We start from the raw sequence: 16,187 nt of genomic DNA, 5'->3' as shown, positions 1-16,187 counted from the left end.
ACGTTGGCAGAATAAGCTCCTTTGGCTTGCATGAATTTACAACGTTGATGAGACTGGGAGAACAGAATGAGAAATGGTGGTTTAGTAGATGTTTTTCATTAAAAAGCAGGCAAAGTCAGTCTATATAAAGCGTTATCTTATTTTTGATGTCATTTTTCACATTGAGAATGTAAATGACATTAAGAGCTCAAAATAGGGCTGACATGACAAGGAAAAGGATCAGATGTTTAGTTAAAAAAATTAATGTGTCCAGTTTCTTTTTAAAGGAAGTGCTATGAAGCATCTATAGAAAATGATTTGTAGTAAAAAAGTTTCACTAAATTGGGCCAGGCACGGTGGCTTACGCCTGTAATCCCAGCACTTTGGGAGGCTGAGGCAGGTGGATCACCTGAGGTCGGGAGTTCAAGACCAGCCTTACCAACATGGAGAAACCCCGTCTCTACTAAATATACAAAAATTAGCTGGTCATGGTGGCACATGCCTGTAATCCCAGCTACTTGGGAGGCTAAGGCAGGAGAATCGCTTGAACCCAGGAGGCGGAGGTTGCGGTGAGCCAAGATCGCGCCATTGCACTCCAGCCTGGGCAACAAGAGCAAAACTCCGTCTCAAAAAAAAAAAAAAAAAAAGTTTCACTAAATTATTTCCACAGATGCTCTGTTGTTTAAAAAAAAGAAAGAAAATGAACTGTGAGATATACTTATCTAAATACTAAATGTTATTATTAGTAGAGTTGAAAATCTGTGCGTATGTGTGATGTTACTTTTTGTCTACTTATTCTGTTTATTTTGTCTGTATGTCTACTCTTAGAAATAAGTCATAATGCGTTCTCATTTACCATAAGCTATATACCAAATCATGCTGAACTTTATTATTATTGTTTATTCTTATTTATTCTTTTAGTAGACATTTTTGCCATTCTGGTTTAATATTTTAGTACAAAAATGGAAGACAAGACATTAACTCTTGATACTATGAAGAGTTAATTGTGAAGAGCTAATGCAGACATTTATAAATGAACTAAAACTATTTAACCTTATGAAAGCCAAATGACTGCCTGTTCTTTCAGTTTTTAATACTGATGATTTAACCTCTATTAGGAACCTCCCTTCTAGTTCTTTGAAACTTATATAATTATCTACTTATTCATTCATTTGTTCATTTATCAATTTAAGAAAATATTGTTTATTCTGGAAGGTAAAATGCTAATTGGGCTCATTTTGATTGCCACATCTTTCAGAATTTCAAAAAGCACCCAATTTTTGGTATTTCCTGCTTCCCATGGGGACTGTTACTAACTAGAACCCAATCAATATTTGCCATGTTGAATTAAGGAATCTGAACCTGGTACCACACTTTGAAAAATCTGTCTCAGTTAAACTGACCACTTATATTTATGGTTCTCCTGCAACCGGCTCTACCTTAAATATACATTCATTGTCACTTTTCTCTGCTTGCAGATTCGCAGGAAAGCATTGACTGTTTTATACACTGAACATAATTATAATCAACATTTAATTGTTTTAATGCTATTACTTCCATATTTTAATAACTTGGAATCCTCTTATTGCCTTTGTATCATTTCTATTCTGATTATGAAATTTCCGATAAGATTTATCATTGATCATACGTCTCTTCATTAATATGTATTTAGGTAATCCAAAGATTACATAAAGCATCTTTCAACAAAATTATGAATTGGCTGGATCTATTTTGAGGTTTTGGAGACTTGGGGTTTGTACTGCGTCTTAAGTGAAGTCTCAGAGGCATCAGTCTCGGAGATCAGTGATCCATCTGACAGGGGGCTTGGTTATTGGGATCCTTTGTTTTCCTCTGCTCCTCTTCCACCTGCTCCTTGTTGCCAGCCTTGTTCATCCTTAATTTAGGAGCTAATACAAGAAGGTTGAGAACTACAAAATACCCAAAATGTAAACAGAACTGTTCTGTCTCAATGTTTCAGGATGGAAAATCATATGGAAACTCCAGGGAATGTCCATGGCAAGGCTGCTTGTTGCCTACATGATTGAAATTTGGAAATTAAAAGGAGAGAGATTTATATCATGCAGTTTTTCATAATTTGATTTTTTTTTCCTCTTTTACCAGGTTTCACCAAAACTCATGCCAATGCAGCAGATCGCAAATTGAAATATGGATATTTGTACCAGGCTGCGTGTTTTTCATTTTAAACACACAAGATTTAATTGAAAGGACATCAATAATCATAATTGTGTATTTAACAGGTGGTTTTTTATTAGTTTTCTTGTGTTTCAGACTTTATGCAGCCATATAAACTGTTCTCTAGGCATGCTGTGACATTTTAATAAAAAGCAAAAGGAGCATTTATAATTATCTCATTTGTTAAGGCTGAGAAGGTTGTTTTTATAATAGGTAATTATATTGAATGCATTTTCACTGAATATGGTATGTATGCTAAATTATATGAACCTTTCCCCAAGAAGGGCCCTAGAAATTGATGTGGCTTTCCTCTTAAATATTAATTATTAGTCCTGAAAGAAAGATAACATATGTGATTTTTGTGGTTAGGAGAGTTGCTGTCATGATTGTTTTTTCTTCAGCCTCCTCTGACTTTTCTTTTGGGGCTTCAGATTTTATGATTACATCTTGTCCCCCTAGAACATCCCCCTTCCTCCCATACTGCTTTTAAACAGATGCCCAAGAAGGCAAGCAGGAATGCCTCTTGTGGGGGAGGGCAGGGAGAAATAACTAGTTCAAACCAACTATCTATCTATGCTTTGCAAAGACTAAGGCGTATTATAGGAAGAGGGCTAGAAACCTAACTGATTCTTCTCAGTTTTCTCATTTTAAAACAGCCCAGTATTCCTTTGTATCCTCAAGGGTCCTTGAGAATACTTCTGTTATTGAGACCCTGTGGGCTACTTGTACTGTACCTCCTCTCAAGCCAAGAAGGGCTGTGGGATAATTTACCATGAATCCTTAGTAGCAATGACAGCAGAGTTAAAAAATAAAAGGTGTTTTACTTTCAGGCTCTTGTTTTGGTTCAGAGGAGATTTTAAATATTGAATGACACTTCTACAGAACAACGGTTTTTCTTCTGCCAAGGCTACTTCCTTTAACGAAGTGCCTTTAATTCAGCCTTATCCAACTAGGGAAAATAATGTTGGACAAGTCTAGGATTTGAAGAGTCAGTGAACTTTTAGTGTCAGGGAATAAACATGGTGGGTAGATTAGGTTTGAAAAAAACTTCCTTAGAGGTATTTATTCTCAATACCTGACAGGGGCCCATGGGAATGACTTCAGAAGCATCCCGGATAATAGATGGGTAAAAAGTCTAGGCACCCTGAAGAACAGGTGAGACAGCTGGCCTCTGGACAGAGGTAGGCATAGTACAGTACGATATATCATTCCTCTGGTCCTAAATATACAAACTTATTCATGTTTTTAGGTGATGATGGTCATTGAAACTCACTTCTTTTCAGGTGTAGCTACAATTGTGTAATGTACAATATTAGAGAAAGGACAGGCTTTTTATGAGTAACACACACCATATATAAAACAGCCTTTCTGGCTGACCACATGGTTAAATGCATACCTTCCCAGTACTGGGGGGAAAAAATGACCCTTCTTAGAATGTGCAAGTTCCATGAGAGTAATATATTGATATGATTTTGAAAAGAATTGTTGATAGTTACATCTTCAAACTTATCATTCCAGTATGCATCTTTAAGATAATGTGATTCTAAGTAGATGACTTTATATTCTTGATTGAAGAGTGCTATACATGTTAAGAAATGCATTAAGGAATACAATAAATATTCTAAAGTGATGTAGATCAGTGTGACTGTCCTTTATTTCACTTGGGAATGGCATTGCTAAATGTGGGAATAATGCAACAGATTGTCAGGGTAGCTAACAATAAAGTCAGCACACATCACCACTTCTTTTTTTTTTCCTTTTTTTTAAATTATACTTTAAGTTCTAGGGTACATGTGCACAATGTGCAAGTTTGTTACATATGTATACATGTGCCATGTTGGTGTGCCAACATGCTAATGGTGTGCCATTAACTCGTCATTTACATTAGGTATATCTTCTAATGCTATCCCTCCCCCCTTCCCCCACCCCATGACAGGCCCCGGTGTGTGATGTTCCCCTTCCTGTGTCCAAGGGTTCTCATTGTTCAGTTCCCACCTATGAGTGAGAACGTGCGGTGTTTGGTTGTTTGTCCTTGCAATAGTTTGCTGAGAATGACGGTTTCCAGCTTCATCCATGTCCCTACAAAGGACATAAACTCATCCTTTTTTATGGCTGCATAGTATTCCATGGTGTATATGTGCCACATTTTCTTGATCCAGTCTATCATTGATGGACATTTGGGTTGGTTCCAAGTCTTTGCTATTGTGAATAGTGCCACAATAAACATACGCACATCACCACTTCTAGTCAAGTTGTTGCTTTTCTTTTTATCTTACCAGAGAAAAGATATTGTTCTTCTAGAAAGATCAAGTGAACATTGAGTTTCACAACTTGCTCCTTGTCAGAGGCTGCTATGTTTACAAAAATCATTTATCCAAGGCTTCATGTGTGAATCCTTGTTCACTTTTTGTGTAACATTTTCCTTTACTGTACACATTAGTTGCCTGGTGCTGTGAGTTTATTTCCATTTTGAAGTGGCTCTAGTGGTAGTCTGCTCAGCATCTGTTTTGCTGCTCCTCTGGTAACAAAGGGGTGGGCACGTCCCCAGGATTTGCTACTTCCGGTAGCTGTCCTTGGTCGACAGTGGTTATACCCAGAGTTGTGCATATGACCAAGGATGTACCAGTTTATTTCTCCAACATTTAAAAAACAGATGAGAAGTCAACTTTCTTACTCCTCTCGGGCTATGAAGCCATAAGAATGTGAATCTGACACCAATACCCCACATGTCTGCTACACACATGCACATACCTAGCTGAGCTCCAGCTGGAGAGAAAGAAACTGATACACAAAACATGGAGCTGTATAGGAAGTATGTCAGTGGGGGCATTCTGGTGGTATTTGGATAGATGGTTCTGGAAGTGCCTAAGGCCAACTTCCCTCCAGCCGTGCCTGGATAGAGTTCATAAATCTTTTTGCTTGAGCAGAGTTTTTGTCACCTGTAAGCACAGTGAAATCATACAGCTTTGGTAATTCTTTTTCGCCACGGTGTCTCACTCTGTCACCTAGGTTGGAGTGCAGTGGCACAATCACGGCTCACTGCAGCCTTAGCCTCCTGGGCTCAAGTGATTCTTCCACTTTAGCTTCCTGAGTACCTGAGACTATAGGTATGCACTACCACACTTGACTAATTTATTTTTTGTAGAAACGGAGTGTCACTATGCTGCCCACGCTTGCCTGGAACTCCTGGCCTCAAGTGATCTTCCTGCCTCAGTCACCCATAGTGCTGGGATTACAGGCATGACCCAACATGCATGCCATAATTCTTGAGTTCTGAGAGGGACCTGGTCTCCTAGAGAAGTTATGCAGAATATGAGCAAAACTGCTCGTACCTAGTCCCAGAGAACACAAGAGCATTTCTGGGTATTTACAGTGAGTAGGGAGGTTATGAGTAGAAGTTCATTCTCTTCCAATCTCAGTATATTCAGCAAAAGTTTGGGATGTTATTTCAATGGAAGTATAAGCAAAAATTTAATCAATAAATGGGTTTCTTTGGCACTGACTTCCTTTTCTCAGGGTGTGATCTTGAGTTTCTTAAGCTTATTTTTAGATCCTCCATCTTTAAAATAGGGGAGAATACACTGTTTTCCACTGTGGTTCTATAAGATGTAATTAAAATATCTGGCTGTAAAACTGACATCTTTTAAAAATGCTGTGCCATCATATTACCTTGGAGACAGAATTGTTTATTGTTCCTGTCGTTTTATTTAATGACTACACTGCCTTCCCACTGGAGACAATACTGAATATCAAAGTGGATTTAAGTATAAATACCAATAAGTGTATGTGATCTGAGTGCACATTTATGTGACATATTTGAAGATCCTGCCTCTATAAAGTTAGACACATCTGTGTAAAATCATCCAAACACCCCTTGTGGATCACGCAGCAGCTTCCATGAGCATGATGCCTACAACACTCCAGATAACTAATTGGTAATTCCTTTGTCTAGGGAAACAAATATGTTTGATTGTAGTCATTATCACCCCTCATGGGGAGCCACTCTGGATGGTCCTGTTGGAAAGGGCCTCAGGCAACTCTACCTTGACTCTTGCATGGCCCACAGTGTGTATGTTGGAAACACACCTATTTCTGCTGACAAACTACAGGATGCCAGATGCCCAACACAGCCATTTTTTTGTTTTTGGCTCACTCCTAAACACCAGGTATTCTATCTCTTGCCCTTTAAAGTTTTTAAGAGGAAATCAGACAGTTCCAGAAGCTGGCATATAAAACCTTGGTGTTCCCTTGGAAGACCCTCTGTCTTAATGTGGGGATAGAAGGTAGCTTCTCCCATTTTGCATTCTTGGGGTTGGAGTACTCAACTCTCCAAACTGTTTCTGTAATTGCTCGTTAATATTTATTGAATCAATTTGCTGGTTGAAAACAGCAAATTTAGCTGAGGAGTTCCCTCAGCTGAATAATTAGGTAAGACCTTAGGAAGAGGTAAGAAAAGAAAAAGAAACGAGGTGGAATATGGAGGGCATAACACAGGAATAAAGAGACCTGCGATGGTCACATGTTTAACACTTGATAATTTATAAAGTACCCAAAATATGCTAGCTAGCTTATTTGATTCTCGTAATAACCTGCCAGGGAGACATTATTACCTCCATTAAAATTAACTTGATTAGTTGGAAAGAAGTAATGTCTGTCAGTTCTTTAATCAAATTAGCTTTTCAGGGCTAATGTTGGATTTTGCCAAGGTAGTTAATGAGACGTGAATTAAATCCCCTGAACAGAACTAGATTTGTGGCTCTTTGGTAAGCTATAAAACAGAGTCCAAATTCTCTAAACCTAATGGAACAAATATTCAAATTTTGTTCCCTCTGCCCTCACAGCTCTTATACACAACCCAGTTTATAAGGAAATGGGTAGTTGTCAAGTAAAAACGATGATGCCACCCACCAGGCAAAATGTCCCCATGGAAGACTTGTAATTACCCAATGTGCTTACATGAAAGGTTCTATGTAGGTAAGCATGCTCACCTGACATCAACCAGAGGGACGGACACACTTTGCTTTGTCTTTGTGGCTGAGCAACTTTCTGAAATTGTTTGTTTGCAATTAACCTTTACCCACGTTCAAAGTCAGAGTTGTAGTTAAGACTAATTCAGTTGAGTCCCAGAAATAAAGCTAAGATTGTTACCAAACTGAACATGGGTTACCTGCTTGACACAGCAAAGCCAAACACTGATATTGGGATATGCAGCAAGAAAACGTGAGGTATTTATTGCAGGGCAGCAAGCAAGGAGAATTAGGCAGCTCATGCCTAGGACCCATACTCTTCAATGGCTTAAATGTAAGGGTTTTTAAAGACAAGATGACAGAGGTTACAGGTGAAGTCATAAGTCAATACATGGAGGCTGTACATTGGTGTAGCCTAAAAAGGCAGGACATCTTGAAGCAGGGCCCATAGGTCATAGGTGGATTCAAAGATTTTCTGATTTGCCCTTGGTTAAGCTTTGCTTAAAAACTTGGGGTCAGTAGAAAAAAAGTGTTAAGCTCTGGCCTGTGGGCATGACTTCCTCCAGGCCCCTCAGGAAGAAATTCAGAATGAGGAACATTGGTCAGAGTTCAGCCCTCAGTTCCCTAGTATCTGAGGTCTGTGTGCCAGCAAAGAGCATTTTCCATGTGTTGGGGATCTGGGTTTCTGAAAAACAACTCAGAGGCATAAATAAAGATGTTCTCTTGAGTTTCTATAGGGAACCAAATATTTCGTTGCTCTCACTTCTTTGGCTGTTTTAAGCTATATTTACCTTTTTGCTTAACAGGTTGCTCATAAGGCTAGCTAGCCACTTCTCAAGGATAGCTAGGTGCCTGGGATTTTCCTTGAAGGGACTCCAGGTTTTCTTTTATTTCTATGCTCTGTGGGCCCATCAGGCCTCAAAGAGGGGTCCCTGCTCCATCTCAATATTTGTATCCTGAAAGTAAATGTTACAGGTGACATAGAGGAATGCTCAGTGAGATCTAATAGTTTCCTCCAACAGGAAAGACAGGATCCATGGAAAGAAGAAAACTGGTCATGGCACTGGAGCCTGTGGAGTGGGGTTGGGGTTGGGGTTGGAGTAAGAAGGCATTAGGGTTCAGCAAGACACACTTTATATGAAACATTTAAGTGTTATTATCGTATTTTCTTTAAATGTTAAGACAGCATCAATTTTAAAATGCACTATGATTTTGTTTACTTTCTTATCACTTAGAAATTTTATTGTGTAGATACTAAGATTTTTTAGACTTCTCCTCAGTCCCAGATGAGTTCACCAATTAGTCCCTGCCTGTTTAAGGCAAAGAAGAGTCATTAATGGATGCCTTGTGCAGCTGATAGGCATTGCAAGCAGTTAATGACCCAAGAAAATTGACCAGTCTTGAAGTCTGTGCATTTGCAATCCAGGAGTTTATCACTGACAAGAGGGGTCAAATGGTCAAAGGGACAGGGTCAGGGTGGGGATCAGGTCAGGAGAAGGGTGGAGGTGTGGGGAGCTGGTGCCTGCCTCAGCTCCCCCTCTGGAACAGTAGTGCAACCAGAGGCCAAGGGTGCCAAGACAATTGTAGTGTGCCACCATTTGTGAGATGCATCTCAATTTCAGAGGTGATAAAATGTGGAAAATTGTTTATCTTTGCTAAAATCAGTGAATTGCAGGGAGTCCTCTCAGGCCTTTCTGAATTGGCATAATGTTTGATTTACGAATATTTTAAAGACACATCTTGTCATTACATTCTATTACATACAGCACTGATTGCATAGGAAATAATCCCTAAGGACCTCTTTCACAAATAAGAGTTGGTAATTATATTAGTGTGTATGTAAATAAGTGCTTAAAAATGGTTCCCCCAGCAATCCAAGTGTTCATTATGGAAACTTTCCATCATGATTTGCCTTCCAGGTTTGTCTCTGTGTCCTCCTAACCTTTTCCTCTCACACCCATCTTTTCTATACACACAATTTCTGTTTCAGGTATATAAAAGTTTTGCCTGTAATCCCAGCACTTTGGGAGGCTGAGGCAGGTGGATCACTTGAGGTCAGGAGTTTGAGACCAGCCTTACCAACATGGCAAAACCCCATCTCTACTAAAAATACAAAATTAGCTGGGCGTGGGTCATGCCTGTAATCCCAGCTACTTGGGAGGCTAAGGCAGGAGAATCGCTTGAACCTGGGAGGCAGAGGTTGCAGTGAGCTGAGATCGTGCCATTGCACTCAAGCCTAGGCAAAAAGAGTGAAACTCCAACTCAAAAAAAGAAAAGTTTATCTGTGAAAAAGTTTGAATACTGGGGTGGGTGCAGTGGCTCATGCCTGTAATCCCAGCACTTTGGGAGGCCGAGGCAGGTGGATAGCTTGAGCTCAGGAGTTTGAAACCAGGTTGGGCAAGACATGGTGAAACCTCATCTCTACCAAAAATACAAAAAAATTAGCTGGGCATGATGACACTCACCTGTAGTCCCAGCTACTTGAGGGGTTGAGGTGGGAGGATCGCTTGAGTCCAGGAGGTCAAGGCCACAGTGAGCTGAGATTGCACCACTGCACTCCAGCATGGGTGACAAAGTGAGACCCTGTCTCAAAAAAAAAAATAAAAAGAAAAATTTTTAATGTTGTAATTAAAGATATTTAACATGGTATAGATACTCAAATATATAAGCAAGTATAGAAGGCCATGCATCTGAGGAGTTACTTCTATTAAGTCAGTAGTATGAAACTCCATATGAGATTGTTGAAGTGAACAATGCCATTTAGGATGAGTGTGATCAAATTGGAGAAAGCATAGGAAAACAAATAATTAAAAATAATACAACTATGGAGAAAGAATAAAATGCCATGGAATATTTAACTTGCAGAAGAGACGTTAAAAGAGTGATTTAACAAGAATTTAGAAAACTGCTGTTTATAACTAAAGAATGCCCAGGCCCAAAGGGAAAGAAGAAGAAGAGGGTGTGGAATTTAATTTAGACACTAACCAGCATTTCATGACAATGAGATTTTAAGAAACAGGAATTAAATGACCTATTTATTCATTCATTTATTTTAAATTTTATTGCATATATTTAAGGTATACACCATGATGTTCATTTATTTACTGGTAGGAATTGAGGGGGAGAGAGAGAAAGGGAGAGAGAGGAGAGGTGTTGGGTAGTCTAATTTGGAGACAGTTCTGGAATCTAGCATTCCTAAAATCTGGCATTCAAGGAAATTTCTACTGGCTTTACAGTCTGGATTCTCTTTATAAACGTATTAATTCTCTCATTATCCAAAAACACCTATTTGTATATGCTTGGCAAACAATAGATGCTCAATAAATTTTTAGTGAAAGAGTGAGTGAAGAGAATATGAACTAATAAATAATTCAGTGGCACAGGATCATATTTAGACAAAATTCAGTTTGTCTTTTTAAATTTCTAACTCCAAATAATAACAGCAAACAAGCAAAACTGGCCCAGAGATACCAGGGATAGTTAAGGTCTCTCTCTGTCACTATCTCTTTCCCCCCTCTCCTTTCTTTCTTCCTTTTAAGAGATATGTATTAAGCACTCTTATCAGTCAGAGTCCAATCAGGAGACAGAAAGTACATGGTGAGTTGAACAGGGAAAGTTTAAAATAAAGAATTGTTAACTATAACAGGAAATTGGAGGAATGCATAATTGACTAGTAAGAAGTAAAGCAAATTCTAAGCAACACGAGATTAACAGCTATAAGGAGCAACCACTACACTTTGAGTTGAAATAGAGCATCCAAGGAACAGGCCTCCAGGGCTGAGATCCAGACCTTGTTCAAAAGTGCATGGCTGTGGCTCACTGGATGGCAGAGAAGTCAATGTGATGCTATGCCAACAGAACTTTCTCGAAATCTGCCTCTGGGGTGCAACAGGAAGCTGTCACAGAGATGCAGCCATGCTTCTCCTGGTGCCACAAAGCCACCCGAAGAGGTGCTAGGGAAGTCTGTTAACAGGGAGCTGTCTCATCTGGGGCATTCCACTGCACAGACACCTGCTGGGGGATGTAGCTGGCTGCTGAGTCCCACAGGCTGCCACATACTGCAGGAGCCATGAATGGGAAAAGCCAGTTTTGCTGTGATTGTTGGGTACTGGGGAAGCTATGTGTGCTGCAGGACCCTGGAAAGAGAAGCACACCAGAACTAGGAGGATAAAGCTCTTCCTCCTCCAGTGTCTCTCTAGCACCTTCTATTGACAAAGCTTAATATAGTGCCAGTTGGCAAAGAAGTCATATTTGCAGGCTTCATCTGTATTATCTTGGACAAAGCAACGAAAGCTGGATTTGGAGCCAGAAGTCAGCAAGATGCTAACTGACATAATTACCTGCTATGAGCCAGCAGTGTACTAGATGCTAGGGATATGGCAATAAGAAAGCATATTGTCTCACCCTCATGGAGCTTAGATTCTAGTGGAGAGAAATAGCTCTTAATCACATAATCACCCTTAAGAGTTAACTTATAACTGTGTTGAGTTTTCTTTTTATGAAGAAAAAGTATGAGTGCCATGAGAGGTTATTTTAAAGGATCTTGAAGTTATATTAATATTTCTTACTTGCCTCTGTTCAGCACATCCTTACATTTGCCACAGGTTCTTCAATAAAATGTGAAAGCATGTGTAAAAAGCTAAAGTGACTCTTGACAATAAAAACCAACCAACCAACCAACCAAAAAAAAAAAAAATCCCTCAAAACAATATGGAGATCAAGTAACTTAACATCTGTGAAAAATTACAAAAAGAATTCAGCCACAAGGCAGAACTCTGGTAAAAGTGGTTAGAGGACAAAAATCAAACATCACTTGTGCTTGATTTGAGAAAATCTGAACTTTACAGTTTCAGTGAAATAATAGAGTTATTAAAAGGATATGAAATAGAATGATTCTGGCCCAGGGTGAAAGCCATACCACTCAGTGGTTGTTGTAGTCATTTGATTATAGATGTTTTATCGTGGAAGGATATTACATAGATACAATCTGTCCTGAAGGGGTCAATTGAAATACTCTGGTGACTGAGGAAATGCAGCAATGAGAATGCTGCTAACCAAACTGAGCCAGCTGTGTTTTTCAGAGAAGAAGGAATTGTGAAATGACCTCATTGTCATCTGTAATATCATGGAGAAGCAGAAATATTCCAAGGACATCTGAGCTGGTGTTAAAGTCGAACATATTTATAAAAGTTAACTCTGGCATAAACATAAAACTACTTTATATTGTTAGAAGGGAAAAATGAAAACATAAAATCATTTACAAACCTGTTCTATACCTGGAATACATCCATTTGTTTATCTCAATAATGGCTATCCAATTAATAAGGAAATTTTTTTTTTCATTTAACAAGACCATAGCACAAAAAGATCTATCAATCTACCAATATGTATACAACCTATAAGTCCAGTCCAGAAAAAGAGCAAATATGTTTTAAAAAATTACTAAAACAGCATAAGAAGTTCATCTGCCAAATAGGTCATAGTTTGTAAGCACTAATTTAATAATAAAAATAGAAAGCATGTTGAAACTTTACTCCACAACCAACTTATGTCCCTTAATCTCGGGAATCTCATGACTTGACCTTGTCAGGAAAAGTATTAATTTGTGGGTGAAATGATCGGACATGAAGATTTGCTTAAAAATACTCTGTCAAGTAATGATGATAATGACAATTATAGAAAAATCGATGAAGTAATATTGGCAAAATTTGGGTAAAGCTGGGGGTGACAGGTACATGAAAGTTAATTATGCTCTTCTTTACTGTATGTTTGAAATTCATCATATTAGAAGGGTTTTCAAAAGAAAGATATAAATGCAATATCCATTATAGCATATTTATGATAATTACAGTTTTGAATAGGAAAATTTAGTGATGTTTTGAATAAGAAAATTTAGTGATGATTCCCTGGGGTTGGGATTAGAAATTTAGTCAAGAGGAACTACAATCTCAATGGAAGAGAGAAGATGAGGATGGATTTTTTTAATCAAGTTCATTTTTATTATTTTAATCACTAATAATGCAAACCCCAGAAGAATGAAAATAAGTACAAAAAGCATGAAAAAAAAAACAACATTATTAGCTATCAGGCAAATGCAACTTTAAGCCATACTAAGATACTACCACACACCTGACAGAATAACTAAAATAAAAACAGTGACACCACCAAATGTTGGTAAAGATATGGAGACACTAAATCTCTCATACATTTCTGAGGGAATGTAAAATGATACAGCCATTCCGGAAAACAGTTTGGCAGTTTCTTATAAAACTAACATATAGTTTACTGTATGGCCCAATGAATGCACTATTGGGCATTATTCCAGAAAAATGAACTTATGTTGATATAAAAACCTATACAAGAATATCAGCAGCAGTTTTATTTATGAAAGTCAAAAGCTGGGAGCAGCCCAGATATCCTTAAATGGGTGAATGGTTAAACAAACTGTGGGAAATCCTTAAATAGAATACTACTCAGCAATAAAAAGAAACAAACTATTGATATATGCAACAACTAGGATGAATTTCCAGGAAATTACACTGAGAAAAAAAGCCTGTGCCAAAAGGCTATATACAATATGATTTCACTTATGTAACATTTTTGAAATGATAAAATTTTAGCAACAGAGAACATATCAGATGTTGTCAGGGGTTAGGGATCTGGGAGGGAAAGTAGAAAAGAGGTTTGTGTGGTTATAACAGAGTCACAGGAGGGATACTTGGGGTGATGGAACTGTTCTGTATTTCACCTGTAGTGGTGGATATATGAACCTACACATGTAATACAAGTAAACAGAACTAAATCACACACACACAAGTAAAGCACAAGTGAGCACAAGCAATATGAATAAAACGAGTATATTCTCATTAACCTAGCTGTGATATTGTAACATAATTTTGTAAGATGATCCCATCAGAGGAAAATAGGTAAAGAGTACATGGGATCTCCCCGTTGGTATTTCTCACAGCTTCGTGTGAAACTAAAATTATCTCAATAAAAATTTCACCCACAAATAAAGTTAAAAAATCAGTGTTGAAAGGCTGCCTTTTTAATCTGCTCAAACCCTTGATAGATGATCTTCTTGACTTTTTTTCCAAAGGGAATAAAAAGAAATGGTTGTACTCTTCCTACTAATCATAGGAAGTTCTTTACTTGTTTTACCTAGGAATGCCACCCACTGGCTAGATGCCTCTAATGAAGTTTCTTAACCTCACTGTGTAGGTTTTCTAATATGTAAATGGATATAATGCCTTCCTCACAGGGCTGCTGAAAGGATTTAAAATATATCTTAAGTTCCTGGCACATAATTGCCAATTTAAAAAATTCTTCTTTACACTAGAGATAATGTTTCATTTGTAGTTTTTTTACAGTCCCTGCTTTTTTTACTTTTGCTCTCCCATTAGTCTTTGGGAATTTCTGTATGTGTTTATGTATTCCCTGGAACATGAATATATTATATACAGTAAAATTTCTGGTTAAGAGTAAAGAAAGTTTGGAGAGAAAGCTTGAAACTAGTGACCCAAAAGAAATGTTGGATTATCTGTGATTTTCAGTGATCTATCCTCTTCCTGGCCAAGTGTAGCATATGAAATCAAGAACTAGTGGCATTGAATGGCAATTTAAAATGCTGCTTAATTAAGCCATTAAAGATGAATATAAATTCTCACGGTGATTTTTCATCAATTCTCGTTTATTACCAAGGACACCTGTTGATTTAAAAGTGTAGAAGTACTGAGTGAGAGCTTGTTCTGGCCTTGTAATGAGAAGTTATGAAATATCAGCATTGTCCCATTAGTAACTATGTGCATATCCAGATCCATCTAATTTTATGAAGCAGACAATGAGTATTTTTGAAGGCAAATGAGGAAAATCACTCTTAGAAACCAAGCTAGGAGTTATCTACTGCCAGGAATGGTGGCATAGATTGGTATAGATAAATCTGGCAATAGAAAGCTACCAGGAAGGCTGGATAAAATACCCCCACCCCTGTTCCACTATCTCTACCACCACCACCACCACCACCACACACACACACACACACACACACACAAATGTTTGAGGGCATCAAAGAGAAACTGAAACTTTCTGGAGCAATAAAGAAGCAAAATGAGGTTAGTCTTATATTCTTAAGCTTAACATTCCATGGCATTGTCCCCTTTGAGGTGTTTGCTAACTTACAGAACTTGTAGGGCTAAAACACTGAGAAAGTAAACATAAAGTGACAGCTAAGAGTCTGAGAAGCTCAGATGAGCTTAAGTTATCTTATATATTGGGGAGACGACAATTAGGAATCAGAGACAGCCAAGGAAAAACAGTCCTACTAAAGACCTTAGAATTCCAATTACAGTTGACCCTTGAACAACATAGGTTTGAACTGTATGGGTCCACTTTTACACAGATATTTTTTCAATAAATACACTGAAAATATTTTGGAGATTTGCAACAATTGGAAATAACTTGCAGATGAACCATGCAGCTTTGAAAAATAAAGTTAGGTATGTCAAGAATACATAAAATATATGTAGATACTAATCTATTTTGTCCTTTACTACCAGAAGATATATACAAATCTAGCATAAAAAGTTAAAATTTATCAAAACTTATGCACACAATCACTATACACAGTGTCATTTGCAGTCTAGAGAAATGTAAATAAATATAAAGATACAGTAGTAAGTGATAACTGCATAAAATTAACTGGAGTAATACTGTACTACTATAATAACTTTGTAGCTACCTTCTTTTGCAATTGCAGTGAGCTCCTGTTGTGAGTATCCAAGTCTCCATTTAAAATGCCATGCCATACTAATCATCTCCATGTGCGCAGTTTGTCTCTCTAGTAAATTTTTTTTTTTTTTTTTTTTTTTTTTGAGACGGAGTCTCGCTCTGTCGCCCAGGCTGGAGTGCAGTGGTGCGATCTCGGCTCACTGCAAGCTCCGCCTCCCAGGTTCACGCCATTCTCCTGCCTCAGCCTCCCGAGTAGCTGGGACTACAGGCGCCCACCACCATGCCCGGCTAATTTTTTTGTATTTTTAGTAGAGACGGGGT

The 16,187-nt window shown here is 38.1% G+C and overlaps 1 protein-coding gene across 7 annotated transcripts in view; it reads left to right on the top strand.

Moving 5' to 3' along the window:
- Positions 1-3,806, top strand: part of OXCT1 (3-oxoacid CoA-transferase 1) — a 140,361-nt gene extending 136,555 nt beyond the window's left edge. For all 7 annotated transcript variants that reach the window (NR_157114.2, NM_001364301.2, NM_001364302.2 and 4 more), the window contains one exon: positions 2,101-3,806. Coding sequence is in view for 6 of the 7 variants with exons in the window: in NM_001364301.2 (NP_001351230.1) it covers positions 2,101-2,142 (42 nt within the window). In the remaining variant the exon portion in view is untranslated. The remainder of the gene's footprint in view (positions 1-2,100) is intronic.

This window comes from Homo sapiens, chromosome 5, assembly GCF_000001405.40.
Source record: "Homo sapiens chromosome 5, GRCh38.p14 Primary Assembly".
Lineage (NCBI taxonomy): Eukaryota > Metazoa > Chordata > Mammalia > Primates > Hominidae > Homo > Homo sapiens.
This window is presented reverse-complemented; position numbering and strand designations above follow the sequence as displayed.